Here is a 15061-nt window from a genome sequence, read left to right on the forward strand (position 1 = left end):
CACACACACACGCTTATCAAGGCCACTTAATTTAAACCAGCTGTTTCATTTGAGACTCCAAACAAAAAAGAGCAAAATATTGCAAGACAAGCAGACATTATTATATTGTTATATTACATATTTGAGTATAGTTAAATCATAGCCTAATGTGTTTAAGAGCATGGCCACTGGTGTCAGATTTCTGGATGTCATTACCCCTTAGCTGGACTAAATATTTGAGGAGGACAGTATCCAGTGACTTTATAGAAGAGAATGAACTCACAAAGTTGAACATTAAGAAAACTTCAGAATTGTGTTAAGAAAAACAAAGCAATACAGCATCAGAACAGCCAAGAGAAAATAGAGTTCCAAGAAGATAGAAGTGGCCTATATATAATATTCTTATTTTTGAAAGTCAAATCAAAGGATTAAAATATACCTGCAGTTTAAGGATAGGAGAGAAGGAAAGGACTGGGAGTGTTAAGGAAGTGGGAAAAGAGGAAGTGGAAGCAGCAAATTTTGAATAACTCATTTGAGAAGCTTGTCTTTGAAGGGCAAGAGAGAAGTTCCTCTTGTGTATTTCTTCTTAGATCTATTTTGCACATAAGTAGCATATACCCTGACTTTATGTGAACAAGAAAGATAAATGTTTCATAATATCAGTTAACTTTGACCTGATTTTTCTGATCAACTAGAAAGGTCTGTTAAGAGAAATAAGAAATTATGTGAGGTCTCTCTAGTTGAAGCTATAACTATTATTATTTTTTTTTTTTGCATTTACTTCCACTTTTCAGGTACAGAGATTACAGATATCCTCCTGATGACGAGAATAAATATTTTCATAATATGCAATTCTGGCATGTCCTTGCTGCCAAGATGACCTTCATCATTGTTATGGAAGTAAGCTGTTCTTAACTTTCATTCGAGTTACTCTCTTCTCTCTTTAGGCAGATATTTCTAAAGGTAACCTCTCATCAGAAAGTTAGCAATATCTCAGTAAACTGTCTTGAAGGAAGTATTGTATTTGTAGTCATAAAAAGCACCTTAGGGATATTCTTAGTACAATGGATTGCCTATTATTCACTTATTATTGTTGAACATGTCATGGTGACAGAAAAGGAAAGGAAAACAAATATGGTTTTTTTCCCTTCAAGTCAGGAAAAGGGGAAATAACCCACTGATTTTAGAGAATACCTATTACTTACTAGTTCCAGAGGCTGTATTAAATCATAACAACATTGTTAATTAGACCTTATCGCTCACCTTTGAAAAGGAATCTGAGATTCAGCAAAAATAAGTAGCTGGCTTAACGTTAACTAACTAACATTAGCGCTGAGTCTCAATGCCAAATGTGCCTCACTCCCAAGCTTATGCTCTGTCTACTATATTATGCTTCCTCTCTTGTGGAATATCTAGTGTAGTTATAGAGATAAGGCCTGCAAGAAAAGGTAAACAATACAGAGGCAGTATTGGGCAAAGTTTCAAATTGAGTGATACAAATCATAGGGCAAGAAGGCCTATCAGGGAGAGAAAATAAAAGAAAGGTACTTTTTCACCCTGGAATAAAGCCCGATAAAAGACAATCCTAACCCAAGAACATGCCATTCCAACCAGTTTCTGTTTTTTTTTATTGTTATCAAGGTTTCACATGTAATTTTAAAAATCAAATAGTTCTGCATGGGAAAAAAACAAAAGAGCAATCGTACATAATATACCTGCCTACCCTAAAATCCTAATATCCAAAGTAAACTTCTCAATTTTTTTAACTCATTCTTCTAGTAGTTGCCCTTGTATGGCAAAAGAAGATCATTTTGCAGTTATATATTTTTATTTTTTAGGTTGAGCTATCAATTACTGACATTCTACTTTGGCAGATCTCACACACACACCCACACAGACAGAAAGAGAGAGGGGGAAAAAAAACTTTCTCCTACTGCTCAATAATTAAAGCATATTTTTTTGGTCTCATTCTGAAATTCAAAACCTCAGAAAACAGGAAGTATTTTGATAATTTATTTAGCAGCAACATATGATCTAATTCTGCCTTTATTATTTTTAGTGTGACTATTCATTTACTTTGCTGCAGAAATATTTAAGTGTTTGATACAGAGTGCCACCTGAGACCCTGCTGGTTTATACACTAAATTACATATGTTTAATATTTAATCTCAATTCTGAAATATTTCTGTCCATCAGAGTTTTGATTAAGAGATTTTATATAAATACAATAGTCAGGGTTTATAAATTATGACTTTATAAATATTAGTCACATCTGTTTCCTGTCTTATATTCTGAACATATTTCTTTTATTATAATTGTACTTTTCTTTTCTCCCTCTGTCTCTTAGTTCCTTATGAATTTATCAGTCTTTCATTCCAACATTTTGCGTCAGAAGTTTAGATCACCTTTCAGCCAGTAAATTACTTCCGGAATTCTTTTGTTTTAATTTATTTATTATTTGTGTTAATTTTTTGTAATCATTGCAGGCTCCAACCAAGCATCATCCTGGGACTTCTCTTCATCTTGTCTTCTATTGAAGACTAAATTTTCTGCAATCTATGTTTCTCCCATTTTTGGTTTACTAGCTTATTTTGGTGAAGCACATCTTCTAGTAATTTTCTGAGGAAAAATTATGGGCAGTCCATTTTTGAGAAATTGAAGATTGAAAATTTCTTTTCTTTCCTTACATGTGATTATTTGGAATAGAATGTATAATTAAAAGTTGTTTTTCTTAAAAAAATTTTTAATCAACTTTATTTTGGTATTCCTGAAATTTTGAAGATATTGCTTCATTTTCATTCAGCTTCCAGTATTGCTACAAAATGCAATACTATTCTGACTCCCCAGTCTTTGTGTATTATCTATTTTTAAAATCAATACGGTTTTAGGATTCTGTCATTAGCCCCATTTTTATGAAGCTTCACAAGATGGTTCTTTGCTATTTGTCAATATTCATTGTTTTAAACACTCATTGAGCCCCTTAGATCTAAAAACGTACTTACCCTTCAAGTTGAGAAAATTTGCTGGCATAATTTCTTTGATAAATTTTTGATAATGTCTTTGATAAATTTTTTCTTTCTTTGTGCTGTCTCTCTGGAACTGCTGTTATTCAGATTTACACTTCCTAGTTTGAAATTCTAATTATTTGTTTTCTATGAAAACCTGGATTAATATCTTTTTTAAAATTCTACTTTTTTCTTTTACTCCTTTCCTTATATCTGGTTCTTTTCCTTTTTTTTTTTTTTTCCATGTCAGAGATGACTTACCTACATATTTGGTGGTTCTGCTCATGTTTAAGAGTGTGGAAGTGAAAAGCTGATTTTAAGCATTTTGTGCATACAGGAGTGATGTCACTTGGTGGGTTTCACTGTAGGTTGATAACGTAGTGAGCTGATATTTTCACTGGATCCTTACAAAATTTTGACATCCACAGTTCTGCTTTTACAGAATAGTTATTTTTCCCAGAGAAAGCCCTTTATAGCTGTCTATTGAGATATTTTGTGGCTACCTATTTTCTAAGACCTGAGCAAGGCAGAGGGGCTATGTATCTCACAGTTCATTGTGCTGAATTTCACTGTTTTTACTTTTTTTTTTTTCAATATGTTGTCATACCTCCACTGTGTCTGGTGCCCCTGGATTCACAGCTTTGTGGTATAATTTCTGCAGAAAACAAACTCTTCAGCTGCTTCCAGGGTATAGCATGGAGTGAAAGAATACCTGGATACAGATGGGAGAAAGGCTCCAAAAATTCAAGTGCTCCTTATGCAGATTTGTATCTAATCCTCTTGTTTTCAACTCCAACTCAAACTAATACCTTCAAAAGTCCTTATTGCCTTCTTTCCTGAACTTTTGTGACCATCTGAAACAAAATTGGCTTTTGTCTTTTTGGTTTCCACTATCAGTCACCACATCACCATTTGCAAGTTTGCTAGCCTTTTTCACTCTTTTGAGTCTAATTCCTTTATAAATATTTTATCAGGTTTTCAGGAAGGAGCAGTGATAAAGAGTATATTCAATAATCATGTTCAACTGGAATATTGCTAGTTACATATTTAAGTATATATTTATTTGTTTGATGTTGATCTTTGTATGAAAGTTCTAGGACAGAGACCATATCTTCTTCCTTGCCTTTCTACCTCATATGTTGAGCAGTTTCTTAAATAAGTGAAATGATTTGTAAAGACTTTCTGCTGAGCATGTGACACCTCTAACAGCGTCTAATCTTTCCTTTATATTTCCTCTAGCATGTTGTGTTTTTAGTTAAATTTTTGCTGGCCTGGATGATACCTGATGTTCCAAAAGATGTTGTGGAGAGAATCAAGAGAGAAAAGTTAATGACTATCAAGATTCTCCATGATTTTGAGCTCAACAAATTAAAAGAGAACTTGGGAATTAATTCTAATGAATTTGCCAAGCATGTCATGATTGAGGAAAACAAAGCACAGCTGGCTAAATCAACACTCTAATCAGTATAGTGAGGAAGCAGCAGGTGATCTGCCTTACTTCACTTTATCCTCTGGTTTTAGGGCCAGACGCCAGAAGCCATGTGTCAATTTTACCCTTTCTTTTTTTTTTTTTTCTTTTTTTTTTTAAACTCAAAGTTTTTATACACTTTTATAGAGGCCAACTTTGTGATGTTGGAAATGTACTACTTCTCTGCTTCATTGACTGGGCCCTCTCCAGATGTTGTTTTCTGAGGTGCTGTAAATGACTGTTGAAAGTGCAGGTAGAATCAGAATACTGGGAAATTATGGAGTCTTGCAGTTTAGTAAGAAACACTGGCCTTGGGCTGTCCCATCACTTTCCAGTGCATCTATTTATTTTTGTGGTCTTCTCTTGGGTTATTTGATACCTCCTTCCCCATTAAGAAAAATGTTGGGGCAAAAAGAAATGGATCAAAGAGACTGACTGAGCCCTATATATCCTATCATTTTAAAATATGCAAATGAATTGCCAAGATCAGATGACATAAGAAAACTCACACATTAAGGTGTTAATGTATCATAGCAGAGGTTTATTCCTAACACATTCAACTACCATCAGAATCCCAGATAGTTCTTCCTGGTAAAGGCAGAATTCCTTTTCTCGAGACTGAAATTTTGGGTTTCAACATAAAACAACTTGGTTCTTAGAGATAATAATTTGGTTATAATAGTTTCAAGACTGATCTTATCTGGAAAGCAACATTATGAAGCTGTTAGATTGCTTCAGGTTCTCAAGCAAAGACACAATACAGAAGTAAATGTGTTTTCTTAGTAGTTAATGGATGCAGGACAATGTATATTGATTAATTTGTTGATTTTAATTTAGAAAATTGTTAAATTATTTCTTAAAAATCACTTTTCTTCTGGAATGCCAATTTCACATCATGAAGCCTTTTTGTATAAGTTAGATACGAGTTGTTTATGATAAACATTTCTTTGCTTTAAAATAATTGCAAATATTTTAATAAGTTTACAACCTTTTCTATTGATGTATCATCTTATACAATGCTCAGTGCCTTGTTCCAATACCTCTGACACACAAGAAGTCATGTTGTTAGCTAGTGATTTGATGTGATGTAACATCTTAAATGTAAGCTTGTCTTAATGAAATTGTCAGTGTAATAACAACTACAGTCTTGAAAACCAAAAGTGAATCAACCAACTAAGAATGAGTTCATGGACTTAATAATCTAAGGGGGAAAAAATGTTTGTTGAATTATTCCTCTCAAATTTAGGCTTGTGTTACATGCACAAAAATCCTTGTTCTGTTTTCACTTAAAAAAACTAAATATGTATAACTTTGTGTATACACACACACACATCTATATATATAATTATTAGCACTAGAGGGATATAGTCCAGTTATGTAGTATTTAAATCTCCAGTTTCAAATTATAATTCACCTCCAAAAGAATAGTTTTTTAATCACACACATAAGAAATTTTATCACAATATTTAAAACTAATATTTCATTATCTAATGCTAATAAATTATTGTGGTACTGCCAGTATTAAATATATGGCAGATGGTATTAACTACTGATCAATAGTAAGCATACAGAACTGGGGATTATGGATTTTATAAACTATGAGACAGTCACCCCAGTTTGGACTGGGACTAATCCCCAGTACTGATTTGTCATCCACTGAGTAGACTTTATGAATATTTTGGGTAATTTGAAATGATCTCATTATTGAAAGATGATTTCATATGTAGAGAAGATAATATTTCTTTCTTGAAAAAACAAGTCAGGCTTACCATGATGTGTGCAACCAATGTAGGATCTTTGGCTTGTCAAATCAGATTCTCCATTGCTATAGTGTACAGTGCACACAGCTCATATTGCTTCCTTCCTGGGTGCTGATAAAAATAAGAAAGAGCATGGAAATTGGTTTCTTGAATATAAGCTTTAATTTTTAAGGCTTAAAAGTATTCATAGAGGTAGACTGTATGATAAATAAAAACAAATTTAATTCACAAAGTTATCTGTACACTGCAGTTTTAAAATATACCAACTAAATTATTGGGTTTCTGGAAGTGAATGGAGAAAACAGCAAGGGAAGAAATCGTTTTTAAGATAAGTAAATAATTCCCATGGATTGATAAATATTTTCCTTTTAAAATGTTATGGACTGATATTTTTTATTCACCTTTAAATTTCTTATCAAGAAGTTTATCTTTGTTTTTCAGATTTAAAAATGAAATACAGGTATTCGTCACTTTCCTGAAACCATGCTAACCAAAATCAGTAGCCAAACCAATTCAGATAGATGTGTCTCATCTAATTAAACCCATTGGTTTTTATGGGAGGGCTGCATTAAGAGCACCCAACCACCACATGTAAGTTGATAATTACCAGCATGGCAGGTGATTTTATCTGCTGACCAAGCGCATAGTTTTGTTTTGTTTTCAGAATGTTCTAGGGAACATTTGAGATTTTATGTGAAATAAAATTTTAAGTGCCAAAGCCAAAAAAATACTTAACTCTTTTCAAAGGCCCTCTTTCATCCTTGCCTTCGTCAACTTTCCTTTGCACACAGGAAGCAAAATCTACTTCAAGACATTTATTTTAGAGGAATCCATTAAGAAAGGATTGTTTTACTTAAATGAAATGCTGTCTTATTTTTGCTGTGTCTTTTGACACCTCTTAGCTTTAACATTCTTCTTTTAACCAAGCCATTATGCAAAGTTATCAAAGAAGAGGAGAAGGAAAGGAGGACAGATGAAAGTGACGGGAAATGAGAAAGAAGAGGAGTGAGGAAACAGTTATTTCCTTATGAATCCTGTGTGTTTCTTTGGAAGAAAGAGCTGTTCCGAGGAAGTTTGGTCCAGCTGTGGTTGATAAGAGGTATATCTCTTAAAAAAGACACCTAATGAAAGTGAGAGAAAAGCTAAAGAAAATTTCAATGTGACCACTATTATGTGTCAAAATAAAACTTAGATTCCAAAGTGGTTTTGTAGTGTTGGGTGCTATGAGTAGGTATGGATCTCTGTTGATTGACTCCAGTTGAAGGTGAGAAATCTGTACCAATCATTCAAAAAGGGAATCTATTGTTTTGAAAGAAACTCTCTCATATTTCCTTTAAATTGTTAATAGTTGTTATGCAACTAAAGAATGTTATGAAGAAAAATAGCATTGCAAAAAGTACCATTGGCCAGCCTTACAAGTCAGCCACAATGAGTCGGTATAACTACTGTGTTATTCTTTTTCTAGACAAATTTTGACTCTTCTACTTTTATGTGTAATAATTCCAGTATTCTATTTATTTCAGCATTATGTGAAAAATGATAAGAATGTTAAAAAGAAAATAATAGTGTGGTTTAATTGGTATGAGATACCTGCTTCCTCCTCCTCAAAGGTTTGACTGGGTGTATCTCTCCTATGTGTGACATTATGTCTCCTGGTGTTAACACAGGAAATGAGTGCTCCTTTTTAAAATTTCTTTCTTCCAAGTTTTTTTTTCCAGGAAGAGAAATATGCAGTTATGCAGGAAAAGCTCTCTTAAATAATGTGTACATAAATCTCAAGAGAATCAAATTCACAGAGTGAATAAAGTAATAATATTAAACTACATTTTGACATGAACTCAATTTATTCTTCCAGTAAAATGTTGACTTTTTGGAGTGTAAGTACTCCTTTTTTAGTCATATTTGTTGTTTAGAAACATGAAAGTGTATATATATATAACGTGTTTAGCTCATGAAATTACATATTTTTGCACATTTAGATGTTTGCATATTAACGATGTAAATTCCTTGAAGTAAGAAGCTGGATAATCCAGAAAAATTTGAGAAGGTGGTAGTTTTTGTTGTTTTGTCTCTGTATTTTTACTACTTTGGAAGATAAGCATGAACAGAAAGGCCCCCAAAAAGAAAAATTGCATGTTGAAATGTTACAGGTAGATAGGCAATGAGCGGGGCAGGAGAGGGCTCCCGACACACTTACAAGGAATGTAGGGGATGGTTCCACGATTATCACACTGCTTCTCTAAAAATGATAATTCTGCAGCCAGGGAGAGGCAACCTCCTGAAGATCCACACCTGTTAACATTAAACGTGTTACTTGAATGCAGGCCCCAGGGAGAAGCAACTTCCTGGGCATGCATGTTAAGAGACAAAAATGGCGAAGTATGATCTTCCAGGCACGCTCCACCTGAAAAAGGAAGAAAGCCTCAGGTGGGCGTGTGTATAATTCCCTAAACACACTGCACATGTTTAATTCCAAAGGGTAAGGAGAGCACTGCAGATGCAGAAAGCCCACACTAAGGGAAGAATCATGGGAAAGCGGCAAGCTGATAAAGTCCCAGGATCGTGGTTAAATGCCTCTTTTTTCTCCCTTGGAGATTCAGGTGCCCACTTAGGTCTCCTCCCAGTGAATTTTCCTTTTTTTTTTTTTTTTTTCTATTCTAAAGCCTTTTAAAATAAACTCCCACTACTGCCCCCAAATGCCTTGGTCTCTTGTTCTGCTTTATGCCCCTCAATTGAATTCTTTCTTCTGAGGAGGCAAGGACTGAATTTACTGTGGACCCATACGGATTCGCCTCTGGTCACTCAAGGTAACTTGGATGTCTGCCACTGCTAACAGAAATAGCTCCCATATATTTTTTCTAGTCTCATGTTTTTCAAAAAGAAGTCCCCAACCTTGTTCATCAGAATTATCTGGACTGCTTGTTAGAAATGCATATCCCTAGGTCTTATCCCAGATCTCTAGAAACAGAGTCTTTGGAAGAGATGCTTTAAAAAATCTCTCCAGGTGTGTTTTGGGGGATGGGGGTGGGGGAGCAATAACAATGATGAGAATTTCAGAAGATGCCAAATTCCCTAGCCCAAAGTATTTCTATAATGACTCTTAAACATTAATTTATTGTTCCAGCCCATTAAAGAAGTATATTAAGACATGTAGTCAGGGTTTCCAAATTTGTAGAACTGTTCCAATTCTCTTGTATACGGAAGTAGTTAAAATCCTACAGCCTAAGAGCTCTAGCCCTTTAGTTTCTACTTATTTAAAAAAAAAGGAAGACGTAGAAGAGGAGCCAAGATGGCCGAATAGGAACAGCTCCCGTCTACAGCTCCCAGCGTGAGCTACGCAGAAGACGGGTGATTTCTGCATTTCCATCTGAGGTACCGGGTTCATCTCACTAGGGAGTGCCAGACAGTGGGCGCAGGTCAGTGGGTGTGTGCACCGTGCGCGAGCGGAAGCAGGGCGAGGCATTGCCTCACTTGGGAAGCGCAAGGGGTCAGGGAGTTCCCTTTCCGAGTCAAAGAAAGGGGTGACAGACACACCTGGAAAATCGGGTCACTCCCACGCGAATATTGCGCTTTTCGAAGCGGCTTACAAAACGGCGCACCACGAGATTATATCCCACACCTGGCTCGGAGGGTGCTACGCCCAGGGAGCCTCGCTGATTGCTAGCACAGCAGTCTGAGATCAAACTGCAAGGCGGCAGCCAGGCTGGGGGAGGGGCGCCGGCCAGGAAGCTAGAACTGGGTGGGGCCCACCACAGCTCAAGGAGGCCTGCCTGCCTCTGTAGGCTCCATCTCTGGGGGCAGGGCACAGACAAACAAAAAGACAGCAGTAACCTCTGCAGACTTAAATGTCCCTGTCTGACAGCTTTGAAGAGAGCAGTGGTTCTGCCAGTACACAGCTGGAGATCTGAGAACGGGCAGACTGCCTCCTCAAGTGGGTCCCTGACCCCTGACCCCCAAGCAGCCTAACTGGGAGGCACCCCCCAGCAGGGGCACACTGACACCTCACACGGCAGGGTATTCCAACAGACCTGGAGCTGAGGGTCCTGTCTGTTAGAAGGAAAACTAACAAACAGAAAGGACATCCACACCAAAAACCCATCTGTACATCACCATCATCAAAGACCAAAAGTAGATAAAACCACAAAGATGGGGAAAAAACAGAACAGAAAAACTGGAAACTCAAACGCAGAGTGCCTCTCCTCCTCCAAAGGAACGCAGTTCCTCACCAGCAACGGAACAAAGCTGGATGGAGAATGACTTTGACGAGCTGAGAGAAGAAGGCTTCAGACGATCAAATTACTCCGAGCTATGGGAGGAAATTCAAACCAAAGGCAAAGAAGTTGAAAACTTTGAAAAAATTTAGGCGAATGTATAACTAGAATAACCAATACAGAGAAGTGCTTAAAGGAGCTGATGGAGCTGAAAACCAAGGCTCGAGAACTACGTGAAGAATGCAGAAGCCTCAGGAGCCAATGCGATCAACTGGAAGAAAGGGTATCAGCAATGGAAGATGAAATGAATGAAATGAAGCAAGAAGGGAAGTTTAGAGAAAAAAGAATAAAAAGAAATGAGCAAAGCCTCCAAGAAATATGGGACTATGTGAAAAGACCAAACCTACATCTGATTGGTGTACCTGAAAGTGACGGGGAGAATGGAACCAAGTTGGAAAACACTCTGCAGGATATTATCCAGGAGAACTTCCCCAATCTAGCAAGGCAGGCCAACGTTCAGATTCAGGAAATACAGAGAACGCCACAAAGATACTCCTCGAGAAGAGCAACTCCAAGACACATAATTGTCAGATTCACCAAAGTTGAAATGAAGGAAAAAATGTTAAGGGCAGCCAGAGAGAAAGGTTGGGTTACCCTCAAAGGGAAGCCCATCAGACTAACAGCAGATCTCTCAGCAGAAACCCTACAAGCCAGAAGAGAGTGGGGGCCAATATTCAACATTCTTAAAGAAAAGAATTTTCAACCCAGAATTTCATATCCAGCCAAACGAAGCTTCATAAGTGAAGGAGAAATAAAATACTTTACAGACAAGCAAATGCTGAGAGATTTTGTCACCACCAGGCCTGCCCTAAAAGAGCTCCTGAAGGAAGCGCTAAACATGGAAAGGAACAACTGGTACCAGCCGCTGCAAAATCATGCCAAAATGTAAAGACCATCAAGACTAGGAAGAAACTGCATCAACTAACGAGCAAAATCACCAGCTAACATCATAATGACAGGATCAAATTCACACATAACAGTATTAACTTTAAATGTAAATGGACTAAATGCTCCAATTAAAAGACACAGACTGGCAAATTGGATAAAGAGTCAAGACCCATCAGTGTGCTGTATTCAGGAAACCCATCTCATGGGCAGAGACACACATAGGCTTAAAATAAAAGGATGGAGGAAGATCTACCAAGCAAATGGAAAACAAAAAAAGGCAGGGGTTGCAATCCTAGTCTCTGACAAAACAGACTTTAAACCAACAAAGATCAAAAGAGACAAAGAAGGCCATTACATAATGGTAAAGGGATCAATTCAACAAGAAGAGCTAACTATCCTAAATACATATGCACCCAATACAGGAGCACCTAGATTCATAAAGCAAGTCCTGAGTGACCTACAAAGATACTTAGACTCCCACACATTAATAATGTGAGACTTTAACACCCCACTGTCAACATTAGACAGATCAACGAGACAGAAAGTCAACAAGGATACCCAGGAATTGAACTCAGCTCTGCACCAAACGGACCTAATAGACATCTACAGAACTCTCCACCCCAAATCAACAGAATATACATTTTTTTCAGCACCACACCACACCTATTCCAAAATTGACCACATACTTGGAAGTAAAGCTCTCCTCAGCAAATGTAAAAGAACAGAAATTATAACAAACTATCTCTCAGACCACAGTGCTATCAAACTAGAACTCAGGATTAAGAATCTCACTCAAAACCGCTCAACTACATGGAAACTGAACAACCTGCTCCTGAATGACTACTGGATACATAACGAAATGAAGGCAGAAATAAAGATGTTCTTTGAAACCAACGAGAACAAAGACACAACATACCAGAATCTCTGGGACGCATTCAAAGCAGTGTGTAGAGGGAAATTTATAGCACTAAATGCCCACAAGAGAAAGCAGGAAAGATCCAAAATTGACACCCTAACATCACAATTAAAAGAACTAGAAAAGCAAGAGCAAACACATTCTAAAGCTAGCAGAAGGCAAGAAATGACTAAAATCAGAGCAGAACTGAAGGAAATAGAGACACAAAAAACACTTCCAAAAATTAATGAATCCAGGAGCTGGTTTTTTGAAAGGATCAACAAAATTGATAGACCACTAGCAAGACTAATAAAGAAAAAAGAATCAAATAGACACAATAAAAAATGATAAAGGGGATATCACCACCCATCCCACAGAAATACAAACTACCATCAGAGAATACTACAAACACCTCTACGCAAATAAACTAGAAAATCTAGAAGAAATGGATACATTCCTCGATACATACACTCTCCCAAGACTAAACCAGGAGGAAGTTGAATCTCTGAATAGACCAATAACAGGAGCTGAAATTGTGGCAATAATCAAAAGCTTACCAACCAAAAAGAGTCCAGGACCAGATGGATTCACAGCCGAATTCTACCAGAGGTACAAGGAGGAACTGGTACCATTCCTTCTGAAACTATTCCAATCAATAGAAAAAGAGGGAATCCTCCCTAACTCATTTTATGAGGCCAGCATCATTCTGGTACCAAAGCCGGGCAGAGACACAACCAAAAAAGAGAATTTTAGACCAATATCCTTGATGAACATTGATGCAAAAATCCTCAATAAAATACTGGCAAAACGAATCCAGCAGCACATCAAAAAGCTTATCCACCATGATCAAGTGGGCTTCATCCCTGGGATGCAAGGCTGGTTCAATATACACAAATCAATAAATGTAATCCAGCATATAAACAGAGCCAAAGACACAAACCACATGATTATCTCAATAGATGCAGAAAAAGCCTTTGACAAAATTCAACAACCCTTCATGCTAAAAACTCTCAATAAATTAGGTATTGATGGGACGTATCTCAAAATAATAAGAGCTATCTATGACAAACCCACAGCCAATATCATACTGAATAGGCAAAAACTGGAAGCATTCCCTTTGAAAACTGGCACAAGACAGGGATGCCCTCTCTCACCACTCCTATTCAACATAGTGTTGGAAGTTCTGGCCAGGGCAATCAGGCAGGAGAAGGAAATAAAGGGTATTCAATTAGGAAAAGAGGAAGTCAAATTGTCCCTGTTTGCAGATGACATGGTATATCTAGAAAACCCCAATGTCTCAGCCCAAAATCTCCTTAAGCTGATAAGCAACTTCAGCAAAGTCTCAGGATACAAAATCAATGTACAAAAGTCACAAGCATTCTTATACACCAATAACAGACAAACAGAGAGCCAAATCATGAGTGAACTCCCATTCACAATTGCTTCAAAGAGAATAAAATACCTAGGAATCCAACTTACAAGGGATGTGAAGCACCTCTTCAAGGAGAACTACAAACCACTGCTCAAGGAAATAAAAGAGGATACAAACAAAGGGAAGAACATTCCATGCTCATGGGTAGGAAGAATCAATATCGTGAAAATGGCCATACTGCCCAAGGTAATTTACAGATTCAATGCCATCCCCATCAAGCTACCAATGACTTTCTTCACAGAATTGGAAAAAACTACTTTAAAGTTCATATGGAATCAAAAAAGAGCCTGCATCGCCAAGGCAATCCTAAGCCAAAAGAACAAAGCTGGAGGCATCATGCTACCTGACTTCAAACTATACTGCAATGCTACAGTAACCAAAACAGCATGGTACTGGTACCAAAACAGAGATATAGATAAATGGAACAGAACAGAGCCCTCAGAAAGAACGCCACATATCTACAACTATCTGATCTGACACACCTGAGAAAAACAAGCAATGGGGAAAGGATTCCCTATTTAATAAATGGTGCTGGGAAAACTGGCTAGCCATATGTAGAAAGCTGAAACTGGATCCCTTCCTTACACCTTATACAAAAATCAATTCAAGATGGATTAAAGACTTAAAAGTTAGACCTAAAACCATAAAAACCCTAGAAGAAAACCTAGGCATTACCATTCAGGACATAGGCATGGGCAAGGACTTCATGTCCAAAACACCAAAAGCAATGGCAACAAAAGACAAAATTCACAAATGGGATCTAATTAAACTCAAGAGCTTCTGCACAGCAAAAGAAACTACCATCAGAGTGAACAGGCAACCTACAAAATGGGAGAAAATTTTTGCAACCTTCTCATCTGACAAAGGGCTAATATCTAGAATCTACAATGAACTCAAACAAATTTACAAGAAAAAAACAAACAACTCCATCAAAAAGTGGGCGAAGGACGTGAACAGACACTTCTCAAAAGAAGACATTTATGCAGCCAAAAAACACATGAAAAAATGCTCATCATCACTGGCCATCAGAGAAATGCAAATCAAAACCACAATTAGATACCATCTCACACCAGTTAGAATGGCAATCATTAAAAAGTCAGGAAACAACAGGTGCTGGAGAGGATGTGGAGAAATAGGAACACTTTTACACTGTTGGTGGGACTGTAAACTAGTTCAACCATTGTGGAAGTCAGTGTGGCGATTCCTCAGGGATCTAGAACTAGAAATACCATTTGACCCAGCCATCCCATTACTGGTTATATACGCAAAGGACTATAAATCATGCTCCTATAAAGACACATGCACACGTATGTTTATTGCGGCACTATTCACAATAGCAAAGACTTGGAACCAACCCAAATGT

General features: G+C 37.1%; 1 protein-coding gene and 1 long non-coding RNA gene across 16 annotated transcripts in view, besides 4 other annotated features; one reads left to right on the forward strand and one right to left on the reverse strand.

The window, feature by feature from the left end:
- Positions 1-8037, forward strand: part of ANO5 (anoctamin 5) — a 90885-nt gene extending 82848 nt beyond the window's left edge. For all 15 annotated transcript variants that reach the window (XM_005252822.5, XM_047426522.1, NM_001441294.1 and 12 more), the window contains 2 exons: positions 774-879; positions 4224-8037. In XM_005252822.5, coding sequence (XP_005252879.1) covers positions 774-879; positions 4224-4445 — 328 coding nt within the window. In that variant the 3' untranslated portion in view covers positions 4446-8037. The remainder of the gene's footprint in view (positions 1-773; positions 880-4223) is intronic.
- SLC17A6-DT (SLC17A6 divergent transcript) overlaps positions 8410-15061 on the reverse strand; it is a 54493-nt gene continuing 47841 nt past the window's right edge. The window contains exon 4 of the long non-coding RNA NR_186351.1: positions 8410-8504. This is a non-coding gene — a long non-coding RNA (SLC17A6 divergent transcript). The remainder of the gene's footprint in view (positions 8505-15061) is intronic.
- Positions 9255-9756: an enhancer, noted in NCBI's record as "H3K4me1 hESC enhancer chr11:22306121-22306622 (GRCh37/hg19 assembly coordinates)". NCBI's record gives its function as "activates a minimal SCP1, AML or CMV promoter by ChIP-STARR-seq in naive and primed H9 embryonic stem cells {active_cell/tissue: H9 hESC(naive and primed)}" and the evidence as "EXISTENCE:reporter gene assay evidence [ECO:0000049][PMID:30033119]".
- Positions 9255-10491: a biological region, named in NCBI's record as "MED14-independent group 3 enhancer GRCh37_chr11:22306158-22307357".
- Positions 9292-10491: an enhancer, noted in NCBI's record as "MED14-independent group 3 enhancer chr11:22306158-22307357 (GRCh37/hg19 assembly coordinates)". NCBI's record gives its function as "activates an origin of replication core promoter dependent on BRD2, BRD4, P300/CBP and CDK7 cofactors, and independent of MED14, by STARR-seq in HCT116 cells {active_cell/tissue: HCT116}" and the evidence as "EXISTENCE:reporter gene assay evidence [ECO:0000049][PMID:35650434]".
- Positions 9757-10256: an enhancer, noted in NCBI's record as "H3K4me1 hESC enhancer chr11:22306623-22307122 (GRCh37/hg19 assembly coordinates)". NCBI's record gives its function as "activates a minimal SCP1, AML or CMV promoter by ChIP-STARR-seq in naive H9 embryonic stem cells {active_cell/tissue: H9 hESC(naive)}" and the evidence as "EXISTENCE:reporter gene assay evidence [ECO:0000049][PMID:30033119]".

This window comes from Homo sapiens, chromosome 11, assembly GCF_000001405.40.
Source record: "Homo sapiens chromosome 11, GRCh38.p14 Primary Assembly".
In the NCBI taxonomy this organism is placed as follows: domain Eukaryota; kingdom Metazoa; phylum Chordata; class Mammalia; order Primates; family Hominidae; genus Homo; species Homo sapiens.